General features: G+C 56.6%; 1 long non-coding RNA gene across 1 annotated transcript, besides 2 other annotated features; it reads left to right on the top strand.

The window, feature by feature from the left end:
- Nucleotides 7,602-7,746: an enhancer, noted in NCBI's record as "145 bp enhancer 30 fragment used in the MPRA reporter construct; PK_construct_3927". NCBI's record gives its function as "activates an SV40 promoter by MPRA in HepG2 and K562 cells {active_cell/tissue: HepG2 | K562}" and the evidence as "EXISTENCE:reporter gene assay evidence [ECO:0000049][PMID:23512712]".
- Nucleotides 7,669-7,679: a transcriptional cis regulatory region, noted in NCBI's record as "NFE2L2 motif; enhancer activity is reduced when this motif is scrambled". NCBI's record gives its function as "necessary for full MPRA enhancer 30 activity {active_cell/tissue: HepG2 | K562}" and the evidence as "EXISTENCE:site-directed mutagenesis evidence [ECO:0005528][PMID:23512712]".
- On the top strand, nt 7,695-14,244 carry LOC102723825 (uncharacterized). The gene is made up of 3 exons (XR_001739239.2): nt 7,695-7,833; nt 8,000-8,079; nt 8,831-14,244. It is a non-coding gene; the product is annotated as an uncharacterized LOC102723825 (long non-coding RNA).
- The last annotated feature ends 1,076 nt before the right edge of the window (nt 14,245-15,320 follow it).

Genomic DNA, 15,320 nt, shown 5'->3' with positions numbered 1-15,320 from the left:
ATGGGGCCATATTGGAAGGGGCTTTGTGCCTGGAACCTATGAATGGGGCTGTATTGGAAAGAGCTTTGCAGCTGGAACCTGTGAATGGGGCCGTATTGGAAGGGGCTTTGCAGCTGGAACCTGTGAATGGGGCCATATTGGAAAGGGCTTTGTGCCTGGAACCTGTGAATGGGCCGTACTGGAAAGAGCTTTGCACCTGGAACCTGTGAACGGGGCTGTATTGGAAAGAGCTTTGCACCTGGAACCTATGAATGGGGCCATATTGGAAGGGGCTTTGTGCCTGGAACCTATGAATGGGGCTGTATTGGAAAGGGCTTTGCAGCTGGAACCTGTGAATGGGCCGTACTGGAAAGAGCTTTGCACCTGGAACCTGTGAACGGGGCTGTATTGGAAAGGGCTTTGCAGCTGGAACCTGTGAATGGGCTGTACTGGAAAGAGCTTTGCACCTGGAACCTGTGAACGGGGCTGTATTGGAAAGGGCTTTGCAGCTGGAACCTGTGAATGGGCCGTACTGGAAAGAGCTTTGCACCTGGAACCTGTGAACGGGGCTGTATTGGAAAGGGCTTTGCACCTGGAACCTGTGAATGGGCCGTACTGGAAAGGGCTTTGCGGCTGGAATCAGGTGAAGGCTCTCAGGATAAGCTCATCCTGGGTTACCTGGCCAGTGCCCCTGGAGAGGACCCTGTGAAGACAAAGGCAGATGGGAGGGAGGCACACAAGCCAGGGGTGCATGGCCGCCACCAGAAGGAAAGAGGCAGGAAGGACCGTCCCCTGAAGCCTTGGGAAGGAGCCCGCCCACACCTGGGTTTCAGACATCTGGCCTCTGGCACTGTGAGGATTCCCATGATTTTTTTTTTTTTTTTTTTGTTTGGAGACGGAGTATCCCCTTGCCGCCCAGGCTGGAGTGCAGTGGCGTGATCTCAGCTCACTGAAACCCCCACCTCCCAGGTTCAAACGATTCTCCTGCCTCAGCCTCCCAAGTAGCTGGGATTACAGGCACTCGCCACCACACCTGGCTAATTTTTATATTTTTAGTGGATACGGGGTTTCACCATGTTGGCCAGGCTGGTCTCGAACTCCTGTCCACGTGATCTGCCCACCTCGGCCTCCCAAGTGCTGGGATTACAGGCGTGAGCCACCGCGCCTGGCCCAAGGATTCCCATGTTTTAAGCCCATCCCCACCTCCCCACTCTGTGGTGTTTTGCTTTGCAGCCTGGGGAGCGAATGTGCCTTCCTGCCTGTTGAGAGTGTGACTTTTGGCCCTGACGTTCCACAGACATGACTGAGTCAGCTGTTCACACTAGGAAGCATGAGTGAGCATCCGGGGGTTCTTCTCCATGTTCGTGAGCGTGGGTGCTGATGCACGGGGTCGCAGAGTGGGTGGCAGGGTGAAGGGAGGCCAGGGCGGCTGCTCGGGCTCACAGTGAGAGCTGCAGCTGCTGCTCCCTGAGCCAGCCGAACCTGACAGCCATCCATTTGCACCACCACTGACCACACGCTTGATTCCACTCCCTGTGAGCCCTGTGGGTGCCGGGGGGGGCTGTGCCGTGGAGTGAATGCCACACACTGCCCGCAGGCAGTCACACAGCTGCCAAGGTGCGGTGCAGGGGCCTGATGCTGGCCACCGAGGGTCAAAGCCTGTGTGCTGGATACCAGCGTGTCCCACATTGAGGCCTCCATGTCAGGGTCTCTGCAGGACAGTGGGAGGGTTCCGAATGCCAAGATGAGGGTGTCGAGCCTGTGGCCCCTGAGGACCTGTGACATGGCACTGTGCTTCGCGGGAAGAAGCATGGTGGAAGTTGTGCTTGGGAGAGACGGAGTGGGCCAAGGAGATGCCCTCCTGGAAGCAGCAGACAACCTCTGTGCCTGGTGTGGTGGGGGATGGCCAGGGGGAGGGGAGTGGGCTCCTGTGGGACCTTTCTCTGCCCACCCACGTGAGGCCAGGGTTGAAAGACAAGCCCCAAGCCCCAGAGGCGACTCGGTAGCTTGGTGTCCTGCCTGAGGGAAGTAGGGACCTTTGGGGCAGCAGTGGGCATCTGTCCTCCCCTCTACAGGCCGTGGGAGCTCTGGAGCTTGGGCCGGGGCCTCTGAGCAACCAAGCACAGCTTCACAGCCCCGTCTGCCCATTCTCCCGCCCTGGTCACCGCAGCATGACCCACAGCTTTCCCTGCATTCATGACACCTTCTTGTGAGACTGTGTGTGTACGAGTCTATGTGTGTGTACGTGTGTCAAGGTGTGTGTGTACACATGAACGTCCACGTGGATAAACCCATGCCCGTATGCACACGTGTGTGCCATCCTGTGCATGCACACACACACACGCAAGCCACACACTCGTCCCCAGTGACCAGGTGACAGGGAAGGGCTCCCTCATGGCCTCCAGGGCCGGGGCAGGCCCCATGCAGCAACACATGGGGAGGACATCATGGAGGGGCTGCTCCCTCCCAGCTCCAAGGCCTCCTTTCAAAGTGGCCCTGGGGACAGACCCAAGGACCCATCCATGTCCACCTGACATGCCCTGTTTCTAGAGGCTTCCTTGGGAAGGCTTGGCCGGAGCTGGGCTTCGGGGAGCAAACTGTGGATGATGAGGGCTGGACTCCTCCAAGTGGTTCAAGATGTGAGGGGCTGGCCAGGGAGGGGAGCGCCCGGGGCATTTCCTGTGCTCTCTTTGAAGAACTAAAAACAAAGGAAGTGTTTTGTGGTGTGGGAGGGGCATCTGGGCCTGTCTGGCCCCTGCGTTCCAGACGAGGCAGGGCCTGGTGAGGACCTATGAGGGGTGAGGACCCTGAGTCTGGATGGAGGCAGCTGGGGTCATTGTTGCGGTGGCAGGGGTGGGCCACTTTCCACAGGGGACGACTTCCCGGGCCTGCTGCTGCCTCGGCCTCACTGCCTGTCTGTCTGGAGTCTGTTTGTGGTCTGTCCGAGACCATGTCTGCCCCTCGCCTGCACCACCACGACCTGGGCAAGGAGGGCTGAGCACTTCGCAGGGTCTGGGGGTGCCATTATCCAGCACGGAGGTAGGAGGGGGCTGCACCCTCGTCAAGCCCTTCCCGCAGGTGTCCTCGCGCTCTGCCTTGGGTCAGCCAAGGGCTGTGTGCCAGCTGCTGCCAATGACCCCAGGCAGGACCCCAGCTGCCCTCACCGACAGGTGCAGCCTAGGCCCCTGCCCAGGCAGGAGGGGCTGTAGGAGGTCATAGCCCACACGGCGGCCAGGCGGCAGGGTGGAGGGTGCAGGCACGGAGCCCGGCCGGGGCTGGGGCCAGTCATGACCAGCGCGTGCCCTGATGGGCCTGGAGACTGTGCTGGCCTCGCCCTGGCACTGACGGTGGACAGTGGGAAGAGAGGGAGGGGTGGGGTGGACGATCTTAGCCCCTCCCTTTCCTTGTTCACTTGGTAGGAGATGGGACAGAAGACACAACAGGTGAGGTGGAAACCCAGCTTCTGAATGAAATCTGGCCACCTCTGTGTGCTCATGGCTCCATGTGGCTGGGTCCCAGGAAATTCTAGGCGAACTGCGGAGGTTCAGTTCTCCTTCAGAGGGGCACCTCAGGCCAGGGGCATGGCTGCAGGGGCAGCCTGGAGCCGAGAGGGGCCCGGCCTGAGCACCTTTGCCTCCCATCGCCCACCTACTGCTGGACCCCGGGGGTGCTCATTCCTGGGGCAGCCTCTGTCTCTAGGAGGGGCGCCCAGGAGAGTCCAGGGTGGGCCACAGAACTCAGAGGTCCTGCCTGCCCTGGGGCCGTCCACGGGCCTTTGGGGCTGGGACTCACATGCCCTTGTCTCCCCTGGGCTTGTGAGGCTCTGGGCTGCAGGGCTGGGCAGGTGACATCCCATTACCCAGAGGCAGACCCTACCCTTCTTTGTATGGGTTGGGGGCACCCGCCATGGGCCCAGGAGGAGGCTTCCACCACCAGCTGAGTGGGGTGGCCCAGGACATTCCTCTAGGTCAGGGTGGAGGACAGGAGTCCTCAGTCCTGGAGGAAGAGGGGGTGGGTCCAAGGCCCCGGGCCCTGGGCTGGTCACCCTGGGGGGTCTGTGTCCAGGGTCAGGGAATGTTGGTGAGATCTCCGACCCCCGTCCTTTCATCCTCTCTGTGCCCCAAGCTTGGTCTCCGACTCCATCCGGAACCTTCCATGGCTCTGTCGCTTCAGGAGGAAATCCAGACTCCTGTCCTGTCTGACCCCGAACCCGCCCTCAGCGGTGATTCCTCCCCTGTCAGGCGGCTAAGGTGGCCCGACCCTGCTTGCAGAGTATGTCCAAGCCCCTGTCTAGAACAACCCTGTGTTATCATATCTGTCTACGCTGGGCTTGTCTCTGTTGTGCGTGGGGCGAAGGCTCTTGGGCTTGACAGAAACCCAGAGGAGCCGGTTGCATCGAGAGCTGCTGTGACACCTGCAATGCTGAGCTGTCTGCCTGGTGAGCTGTGACCCCCCCCACCCCCCAGGCTGGAATCCCGGTTGGAGGGGATGCAGGCTCCCCCGGGGAGTGGACGGGCCCAGGGCCTTTCATTGGAACCTCAAGGTCCACGTCTGGGTGCTGGGTGCCACAGCGTGAGGCCCGCGTTAAGAAGAGGCGGCCGCCTGGGCGAAAGGGCCTCTGGGACACAGAAAGGGGCTTGGCCCAGGTTGGGACAGCAGGGGAGCTGCTGGGGCTGGGGACGCAGGTGTGGATGGCTGTGCAGTTGGGCGGGAGCATTAGGCTGCAGTGGGAGGTGGATGGGAGGGGCTGGTCCAGCAGGGAGGGTGCAGAGGAGCCCTTGTGCTCCTGGCAAGAGAGAGGCAGATACTGGCGCTGCCCCTCACCACTGGTGCCTGAGCCCTGCCCGTGCACGGCTCCTGCTGCCTGCGGGATTCTGTCTCCAGGTTGCCAGGTGGCTGGTCATCCTTGTCCCTGGGGCCTGGCTCTAGTGTCCCCTACCGGCCTCTCTATGCCTGCCCCCTAGTTCCTGCACCACTGAGTTTCACAGGCTCCCCTCCCATGCGATGGCCCATGGGGCTGGAAGACACCCTCCCATGAATGAGCTGTCCAGGCCACTCCTGGGTGGCAGTGCTGAGGCCGTGGAGCTGGGGTCAGAAGACCCTGAGACCCAGGCTGGAGCTTCCGCTCAGTCCCCGAGGCTGCAGACCTCAGCTCTCTGTGGGGAGAGGGGAGACCCCTGGCTCAGCAGCCACCTGCGTGGTTGTTCAGTGTGTACTCTAGAATAAACCGGAAACTCTGGAAGTCTCAATGCCTGTCCCCACATCCGGTGCAGAATGGAGAAGGAGGGGACTCTCCAATGTTCCCCCTCCGGCCCAGCTGCCTTAGCCAGTGCTGCCCAGTGGCCCAGTGTGTCCTCAGCGAGCGAACTCCCCCAGCCAAGGGGAACTGGGATCCCGCCCTCTGTGAGTTCCAGGCACTGCAGTTCAGATCTGTTAAAACATCCACCACTGAACGTCAGGATAAACTCTGTCCTGTTTACGGGACATCTGCTTGTGATACTTGGCTGCACGGCTGTGTGACCAAATGTTAGACATCTTTGGTTTTCTGTGTGGCAATTTCTAACCTGTAGACAACGCTGTGGGGGTATGGACATGTGACCGACCTGGCCTTTGACCAGATGAGGGTCACAGGCAGAGAACTGGAGGCCACCTCAGCATTCCCTGGGAGGGTTGCCATCAGATGGAAACTTCTAGAAGGTCCCCCAGATGCTCAGGCATGTACTGGACAGTGGAGGGAGGTTCATTTCACCCTCCCAGTGAAGTCTTCCCACAGTCGCTGTTTCTGGAGCCCATGGATGCTTTCCTCCCTTGTCCGCCACACAAGGTCAGCTCAGCTGGGGTGGGTATTTGGGGCTTCCCTGGGCCAGCAGCTCACACACAGCCTCTGTGGGACCAGGTCCTCCCCAGAGAGAGGGATTCAGTGCTGCTTCCACCTCAGCTCCCTCTGGACCTCAGGACCCAACACCTCTTCCAGCTTGAGGTCACAGGCCCCCAGAACAGAGACTTAGGCCCCAGAGGGGGCAGAGACAGAGTGCGGGCCTGGAAGCGCCCAGCCCAAGGCCCAGCTGCTGCTCACTTGCTCATGTCAGGCATGGTTAGGAGAGTGCAGGGGTGACCAGGCCCTGCAGGACTAGGCAGCTCCAGGTCAGGGGCACCCAACTCTGGGCCTCGTCTTTCCATCTGTAAACGAGGGGCCTGATCTTCCAGCTCCCTCCCTTTCTATGGAAGCAACAGGGCCTGGGCTCCCTGATAGGGCTCCAGGGAGGTGGGGGCTCTGAGCCCCTGGACCAAAGGACCCTTGTTCCTGAGCAGCCTGTCCAGCCACACTGAGGCCTCTGCAGCGCAGCTGCCCATGGCCCGCAGGCAGCCTGGCCCGGCCTGGGGACACCTGGCCCTTTGGATGCTGTCTCCTGGTGGGGCCACTTCCACCTTGCTTGGGGGCAGCCAGATGCTGGGGACCCCACATCTGCCCTCCTGCCAGCCCCACCCACCAGCGGCTCCCAGGATCTCACCTGGATGCTTCTCAGGACCCCGGAGTCCCCAGGAGTCTTCCGGAGTGTCCCATGCCACCAGCTGCTCAAGCCAGAATTGGGTGGTGCACAGGGTCCCCTCCCTCCTGCAACCGTCCCCCTCCCTCCTGCCCAACCCCACCTCTGCCCGATTTAACCCCTGTCATGTTTCAGTCTGGTCACTGCTCAGCCTCCAGGCTGGCCCTTGCCCCCTCCCAAAATGCCAGTGCAGAGCGTCCTGCATCGAGTTACCCCAGGACAGAGCCCTATCTCTGCCAGCCTGACCTCCTAGTCCTTTCTCCCTCCAAGCCGGGGCAGACCACCCAGGGATCCCCGCGGTCCTGCCTTTTACGTGCTTCCCTTCAACTGCCCCCTTTCTGCCGCCCATGGCCTGGTGGACACCAACGCCCCTCTTGCGAGGCTCCGGGCTGAACCACCCTGGGACACCTTGCTCAGGGCTGGGCTGGCCGAGGGTACACTTGCTTCCACGTCACAGCTCCCATGTCCCCGCTGGGTGGTCTGGAGACCTGGTCTCTTCTGTGAGTCTCAGTTTCCCCAGGTGTATTCAGGAGCCTGGGGCTGCTGTGAGTCTCAGTTTCCCCAGGTGTACTCAGGAGCCTGGGGCTGCTGTGAGTCTCAGTTTCCCCAGGTGTACTCAGGAGCCTGGGGCTGCTGTGAGTCTCAGGGCCAGCCTGTAGGGATCCTGGCTGGGGTTTGGCTGTGGAGGGAGCTACAGGTCTGGCTGCCCTTGCCCGTGGCTTTCCCCGGGAGGAGGGCCCTGCCTGTGGGCAGGGTGAAGGGCTTCAAGGGGAGGGAGGCCAGGATGGGTCAGGAAGCCCTGCTGGGATGAACCCAGGTCCCACAGGCAGGATCCATGTGGGGTGGGCTGACCCTGGGCCCTACAGGGCTCACGCCCTTCCACAGCCTCCCTGGCCTGGCAGTGCCTTCTCCCTGTGCCTGATAATGGCTCCTCTTGTGTGTTCAGAACAGGCACAGTGCCTAGGGTCCCAGTGGCTGGAGAGGAGCCCGAATGACCTGAAGTCCCTCTCCAGACCATGCCCCCGCTCCACAGCTGACAGGATGGGGCCGCTGCGGGCGAAAGCTCTCCGGACGAGCCTTCTCCCAGGGAGAGGACTTCTTGGGTCCCTTCCAGCTCTGGGACTCTGGGATTGGGGTCATCGTGACTCAGCAGCTGGAGATGACTCAGGCACTGTCGGATTGACAGCTGAGCCATTTGAGAGCCCATGACTTGGCTGTTTTAGAAGATGTGATGCATTGGCCTCCCCCTGCAGGAGTTGGGAACGCGCAGATTCCGCGAATCACAGTTTTCAGATATGGCTGAAATGTGAATATTCCGATTGAAATGTTATGATGATTACGTGTATCTGAGATCTCAAGTGGTGTGCCTGTTTCCAGTGCAGTGGAGCAGCCCAGAAATCTGAGGGGTGATTGTGAGTAACGAGTCCTCGTTTCAGCTGCCGCACGTGCGTGTGTTTCTGTTTCTGTTGTAGTGATAACCCAAGTGAGCAGCTCAGGGATCAGGACCTGAGGTTTTCAGCACAAACGACAAGAGGTTCAAGTAGAAAAGCAGGTAAGAAGCCCGTTCTATGGAGCTGGTATTTCTCTTCTCTCTCTCTCTCTCTCTTTTTGGGGAGCAGTAGCAAGGTTTATTGTGAAGAGCGAAAGAACAAAGCTTCCACAGTGTGGAAGGAGACCTGAGCGGGTTGCGCCTCTTTTCTTTTCTTTTCTTTCTTTTTTTTTTTGAGATAGAGTCTTGCTCTTGTCAGGCTGGAGTGCAGTGGCATGACCTGGGCTCACCACAACCTTCACCTCCAGGGTTCAAGTGGTTGTCCTGCCTCAGGCTCCTGAGTAGCTGGGATTACAGGCACCTGCCACCATGCCTGGCTAATTTTTGTATTTTTAGTAGAGACAGGGTTTTGCCTGTTGGCCAGGCTGGTCTTGAACTCCTGACCTAAGGTGATCCACCCTCCTTGGCCTCCCAAAGTACTGGGATTACAGGTGTGAGCCACCACACCCGTTCCCGGCCTTTACTTTTTTTTTTTTTTTTTTTTTAAATAACAGCTTTATTGAGATGTAATTCATATACCCTATAAATCACCCGTTTGAAGCACTCAGTTCAATAGCTGCTAAGTGTTCAATTCAATAGCTGCTAAGTGTTTGTGGAGTTCTGTGGCATCACCACTATCTTACCCCAGAACATTTTTTTCACCCCTAAAAGAAACCCCATACTCGACCGTCACCCGCCCATTAACTACCCCAGCCCCAGGCGATCCCGTCTGCCCTCTGCCTCTGTGAGTTTGCCTGTTCTGTACATTTCACAGAAGCGGAACATGCAATATGCAGCCCGTGCCTGGCTTCCCTCACTCAGCTTGACGAAATCACAGAACAGATTGTTCTCAAGGAGGCCCCCGTGGTGTTTTCCGGAGCTCCTCTGCCAGGTCTCCAGTTGCGGCAGGGTCCACGTCGCCCCTCCCCTTGGCTCTGGGTTGGCCTTGTCACCAACGTAGGTGGTGGGGCCACATGGTGCCACCTGCTCCCTCTGCACACCTCTGGGCCCACCAGGTCCTAGTGGGCTGGCATCTGCTGCGGGGGCTCTGGTGTGGGTGGAAACACTGGGTCCCCCCAGGCTCCTCCTCATCCCCTGCTCCCAACTTCTTCCTCCATCCCCCAACAGCCCTCAGAGCTCAAGGGAGGGGGCATTGACAAAGGGTCTCCACCAGCCTGGTCCTCTTAGCTTTTCTGGTCTATGAGCTCAGGCAAAATGGCCAGGCAGGCCCCAGGCCACCTCAGCCCAGCTTAGCCCAGTCCACTCTAGCTTAGTTCAGCCTAGCCCAGTGCAACCCTGTTCACCTCAGTCCAGCCCAGCCAAGCTCATCCCAGCCCACCTCAGTCCAGCCCAGCACAGCCCAGCCCAGCCCAGGTTAGCCCAGCCAAGCCTAGTTCAACCCAGTTCAGCCCAGCCCAGCCTAGCTCAGCCCAGCCAAGCTCAGCCCAGTTCAGCTCAGCCCAGCTCAGCCCAGCCAAGCTCAGCCCAGCTCAGCCTAGCCCAGTCTAGCTCAGCCCAGCCCAGCTCAGCCCAGCCCAGCTCAGCCTAGTCCAGTCTAGCTCAGCCCAGCCCAGCTCAGCCCAGCCCAGCTCAGCCTAGTCCAGTCTAGCTCAGCCCAGCCCAGCTCAGCCTAGCTTAGCCAAGTTCAGCCCAGCTCCCGCCCAGCCCAGCTTAGCCCTGCCCAGTTCAGCCCAGCCCAGCCCAACTCAGCTCAGCCCAGCCCAGCCCAGCTCAGCCCAGCATGGCCCAGCCCAGGTTAGCCGAGCCAAGCCTGGTTTAACCCAGTTCAGGCCAGCCCAGCCCAGCTCAGCCCAGCCAAGCTCAGCCCAGTTCAGCCCAGCCCAGCCCAGCCCAGCCCTGCCCGGCTCAGCCCAGCCCAGCTCAGCCCAGCACAGCCCAGCCCAGCCCAGGTTAGCCCAGGTTAGCCCAGGTTAGCCCAGCCAAGCCTAGTTCAACCCAGTTCAGCCCAGCCCAGCCCAGCCCAGGTTAGCCCAGGTTAGCCCAGGTTAGCCCAGCCAAGCCTAGTTCAACCCAGTTCAGCCCAGCCCAGCCCAGGTGAGCCCAGCCAAGCCTGGTTCAACCCAGTTCAGCCCAGCCCAGCCTAGCTCAGCCCAGCCCAGTCCAGCCAGCCCAGCTCCAGGTCCATGACTTCTAAAGCAGGATGTGCTTTGTGGGTTCAAGCTTGTGGCATTTGGGGAATCACATATGGGGGCCTCGAGGCAGAGCAGAGAGGACTTGCAGGACTGTGCAGCTGACAGGATTTGACATAGAGACAACTGTGGAAACCCGAGTGTGGAAGGCGTGACTCTGGGTCTCAGCAGCCACCTGCTGGGCAGATTACACCAGCAGCGCCCCACCGTGGGGCCAGGCGCAGGTCACGGCCAGTGCTGGGATGTCCTGCAAAAAATCCGGGTTGACCACACACCACCCAGGTCAGCACGTGGTCCCCATGGTTGCTGGAGGCAGCTCAGGCTCCAGAGCACTGACTGTGTGCATCGCTCTCGCTCCACGTTCTAAGCCCTAACACCAGTGGTTTGCAACCAGCCACGGTGGGAGTGTGTGCGGATGCTGCAGACCAGCCCTGCCCCTTCTGAGAGTCCCTTGTTAAGCAATTACCAGCACATTGCTGACTGGCCGAGTCACTAACATACTAGGGTATTTTGATGTTCCCCCCAGAGGACTCTCTGCCCCATTCCTGTCCATGCTGGGGTACTGGTTGGCACAGGGGAAGGTGGCACCTGGCTGTGGGCTGCAGGTGGTACAGAAACCTGTGCTCCCCGCGAGGAGCTGGAGTTGGAGCTGGCCACGTGTGGCATCATCTGTTGGAAGGCATTGGAGACCTTGACTAGGAGCAGCCCCTGAGTGGCCTGACTGCTGGACCAGCTGCAAGCTGAGTCCTAGCCCTCGAGGAGTGGGGCCCCCATCATCCAGGACCTGGCGCCCGCATCTGCAGAGGGCTGGGCTCCATGCTGGGGCCAGAACACAGGGAGCATGAAGGACTCAGAGACCCGCCTGCGGCCATAGCACAGGGTAGCCAGCAGGGGACAGCTGGGCCGAGGGGGTGCCGGACGCAGGTGCCAGCCGCCTAGCAGGGCCCTCTTTCTGTCCTCTATTCAAGGTGGCAGTCTGAAAGACCCCCCCACCCAGACAGCCCTCTGCGATCTGCGAAGTGAGCAGAGCTGCATGTGCTGCTCATCCTTCACCCCTTCATTCATTCACTTGGAAGCACCCAGTGAGCACTGTGAAGTCGTGGGCGCTGGTCCAGTGGTGACTGAGGGCAGTGGTGGGTGCCAGGTCCAGTGGTGACCGAGGGCAGTGTCCTCAGGGACTCACGGTTGGCTGTCCTTAGGGACTCACGGTTGGCTGTGGGGACACAGTGGTGTGCACCGGGTCCAGCGGTGACCGAGGGCAGTGGTGGGTGTCGGGTCCAGTGGTGACCGAGGGCAGTGGTGGGCGACGTGTCCAGTGGCGACCGAGGGCAGTGGTGGGTGCTGGGTTCAGTGGTGACCGAGGGTGTCAGTCCTCAGGTAGTCACAGTTAGCTGTGGGGACACAGTGGTGTATGCCAGGTCCAGTGGTGACCGAGGGCAGTGGTGGGCGCTGGTCCATTGGTGACCAAGGGTACTCGTCTTCAGGGACTCACAGCTGGGGGGGCACCAATGAGCAAAGAAAGAAGAAAGAACAAAAGGAAGATGGGTGGGTGCAGCACATGCTGCTGGGGCCAGGAGGAGCCTCACCCTGTTGTTCCAGGCCCGGCACCCCCAGCCTGTTCCGGGAAAACTGTCTGGCAAGGCAGGCCTGACCTTGCCCAGGCCACGCTGGCCCCTCTCCCTCTGAACCTCGTGGCTCATGGCCCAGGACCCGATGGCAGCGAGCCCATGGGGGTGAGCCTGGGAAGGATGCTCTGTGTGGATGGGGAGTGGCAGGGGCAGGATTGTGGTCTGGGCTTAGGAGGGGGAGTCCTGCGTGCCCCGGGGAGGCTGACTTTTCGGCATTAGAAGGAAATTTGCCTTGAAAAAGAACCTGGGACAGTGCCTGAAAGACACAACTGGGAGGGTCCGAGGCTGGCCAACCCCAGAACTGAGTTCTTGGCCAGCTGCCCAGGGCACCTGGCTTGGTAGGAGGCTGGAGAGGCACTAGAGCCCGCTGAGGATGTCCGGCCCTCGCACTCTCTGGCTGCCCTGGGTGCACCCACCTGCCAAATGCAGACTTCTCAGCACCCCTCAAGCCTGCCTGATTCCCCTGCTGGGAAGAGCACGCCAGCACTCCTGACCTGGAGCTGTCCTTCTCAGCACGTGGTCTCAGAGAGCGGGCGGTGGGTGAGACCATGCGGGGGTCGTTGGGTATAAAATGGATTGATCTTGAGCTGTGGTTCATCTCCGTGAGCACCAGAGCGTGGAGCTAAAAGATGGCTTCATCTACGGAGGACAAAATTTACTTTCAATATCTCACTTTATGGGGGATATGAACTGTGAGTTTAGGAGCCAAGTCCAGCATGCTAAAAATCTTCCAAGCTGTTTCATTTTCTTATCTCCAAGGAACCGGTGAGAATATGTGGGTAAGTATTGGAATCTGACACGTACAGCTCATAGGCAGATGGGATCCTTCAAGGTGGTTTAGACGCGTCCTCTGGGCTGGCAGCAAATCACTTCTGGGCTCCACTGTTTGCCACCTTTGCTGTGGAACACAGCGGAACCTGCAGCATCTGGGCTGGGATTGGACTTCAGAGGGTGCACATGTGGTTTTTGTGGGCAGTTTTTCTCAGTGGCCTTTTTATTGAGGAATAACATACATACGGAAAGGTTCCCAAATCATAGATGTATGGCTTGATGCATTTTAAAAAGTGGACACACCCTGAAACTTCCATCCAGACAAAGAGACATGGTGTTTGCAGCACCCCATCTCGCAGGCCCCCTTAGAGGGAACCGCTATTCTGACTTTCATGACCGTGAATGAGGTTTGCCTGGGATTGAACTTTACATACATGAAATCGTAAGCTATGGACCCTTTAGTGTCTGGCTTCTTTTGCTCAAGTTAGATTTGTGAGATTCGTCTAGATCATTATGGGCAGAAATTCTTTCTTTCTCCATGGCTGTCTTCGATGGTCTGAGTACACTTCTTTTTAAACAAATTTAATTTAATTTTAAGTTCCGGTATCCGTGTGTGGGACGTGCAGGTTTGTTACATAGGTAAATGTGTGCCATGGTGGTTTGCTGCACCCATCAGCCCATCACCCAGGTATTAAGCCCAGCACACATTCGCTATTTATCCTGCTTGAGGGTCTCTCTCTTCTCACGCATGAACAGCGTTGTTCTTTTGCATAGTTCAGGGCTGTGGGGCATAGTGTGGCCCCGCGTTCATGTGCGTGTCTCATGGTGAACACAGGCAGGCGTTGGGCATAAATCCAACCATCACACATGCATTGCAAATATCTACTCACAGTTTCTGGCTTAGTTTTAATTCTCTTAACAGTGTCCCTTGATAAACAGGCATTCTTAACTTTAACAAAGTCCAAAGTTTCCATCTTTCCATTAGTCTTCAGAAAAATAAGTAGCATTTAACAATTCTATTTTCTATTTGTGTTACTGGTATATTGGGATACAATGTTTCATGCTAACCACATATCTTGTGTCTTGCTAAATTCTCATATTAACTGTAACAATTTAGCTGTAGATTCTTTTGGATTTTCTACATGCACAATTGTGTTACCTGTAACTAATTACAGTTTCATGTCTTTATTTCCAGTCCCATACTTTTGCTTTCCTTTCCTACCTTCTCATCCTGGCCTGGGCCTCCACCACCACATTTGACAGAAATGAAAATAGCAGACTCTTGTCTCATTCCTGACATCAGGGGAAAACTTTTGACATTTTATCAGGAAGTGTGTTGGCTGTAGGCTTTAGGCTTTTTGATGATATCTGTATCATATTAAGAAAGTTACTTTCTCAGACTTCTTTTACTTTTACAGCCTGGGCAACAGAGCAAGACTCCATCTCACACACACACACACACACACACAAAGTTATTTTCTCGGACTTTTTATCCTGAAGAGTGTTGAATTTTATCAATGCTTTTCCTGAATTTACTGAGATTATTAAATGGTTTTTCTTTTTTATTCTTTTAATGTAATGCATTACATTTGTTGATTTTCAAATATTAAACTAACTCTTTATTTTTGTAATGAACCCAATTTGGTTGTGATGTTTTATCTACTTTATATTTCTGGATTTAATTTTCTAATATTTTGATGAGAGTTTTGTGCCTATGTTCACAAGACAGATTAACCTATGATACTCATTTTTTATAGTTTTCTTCTCAAGTTTTAGGGTGAATTAATAATGGCCTCATAAAATGAACTGGGGGGTGTATTAGTCTGTTTTCACACTGCTATAATGAAATACCTGAGACTGGGTAATTTATAAAGGAAAGAGGTTTGATTGACTCACAGTTCCACATGGCTGGGGAGGCCTCTGGAAACTTATGATCATGGCAGAAGGGGAAGAGGCACATCTTGCGTGGCGGCAGGCGAGAGAGAGCATGCGAAGGGAGCTAAGGGGGAAGAGTCTCTTACAAAACTATCAACTCTCATGAGAACACCCTCACTAGCATGAGAACAGCATGGGGGGAAGCTGCCCCCATAATCCAATCACCTCCCACCAGGTTCCTCCCTCAACACCTGGGGATTACAATTTAAGATGAGATTTGGGTGAGGATACAAAGCCAAACCATAACAAGGGATATTTCTTTTTTTCCTGTTTTCTGGAAGAATTTTATAAGATTTGTGTTAGTTCATCTTTAAATATTTGAAAATATTTATCTTACGTGTTCTGGGCCTAGAGTTTTTCTGTGGAAAGGTTTAAAATTAATGATTCAATTAATTTATTTATTATGCATAGGACTACTTACATACTCTATTTCTTCTTGTGTCTCTTGTTATATTTGTTTTTCTAAGAATGTGTCCATTTCATTTGACTTATTGATTTGTTTGGCAGAAAGCCATTTGTCATACTTCATAATATTTGTAATGTCTGTGGGGTCTTTAGTAGTAATCCCTTCTTAATCTCTACTATTGCCAGCATGTGCCATATTATTTTGTGTGTGTGTGTGTGTGTGTTTTTGAGATGGAGTTTTGCTCTCGTCACCCAGGCCAGAGTGTAGTGGCATGATCTCAGCTCACTGCAATCTCTGTTTCCCGGGTTCAAGTGATTCTCCTGCCTCAGCCTCCCAAGTAGCTGGGATTACAGGCACCAGCCACCACACCTGGCT

This window comes from Homo sapiens, chromosome 2, assembly GCF_000001405.40.
Source record: "Homo sapiens chromosome 2, GRCh38.p14 Primary Assembly".
In the NCBI taxonomy this organism is placed as follows: Eukaryota; Metazoa; Chordata; class Mammalia; order Primates; family Hominidae; genus Homo; species Homo sapiens.
This window is presented reverse-complemented; position numbering and strand designations above follow the sequence as displayed.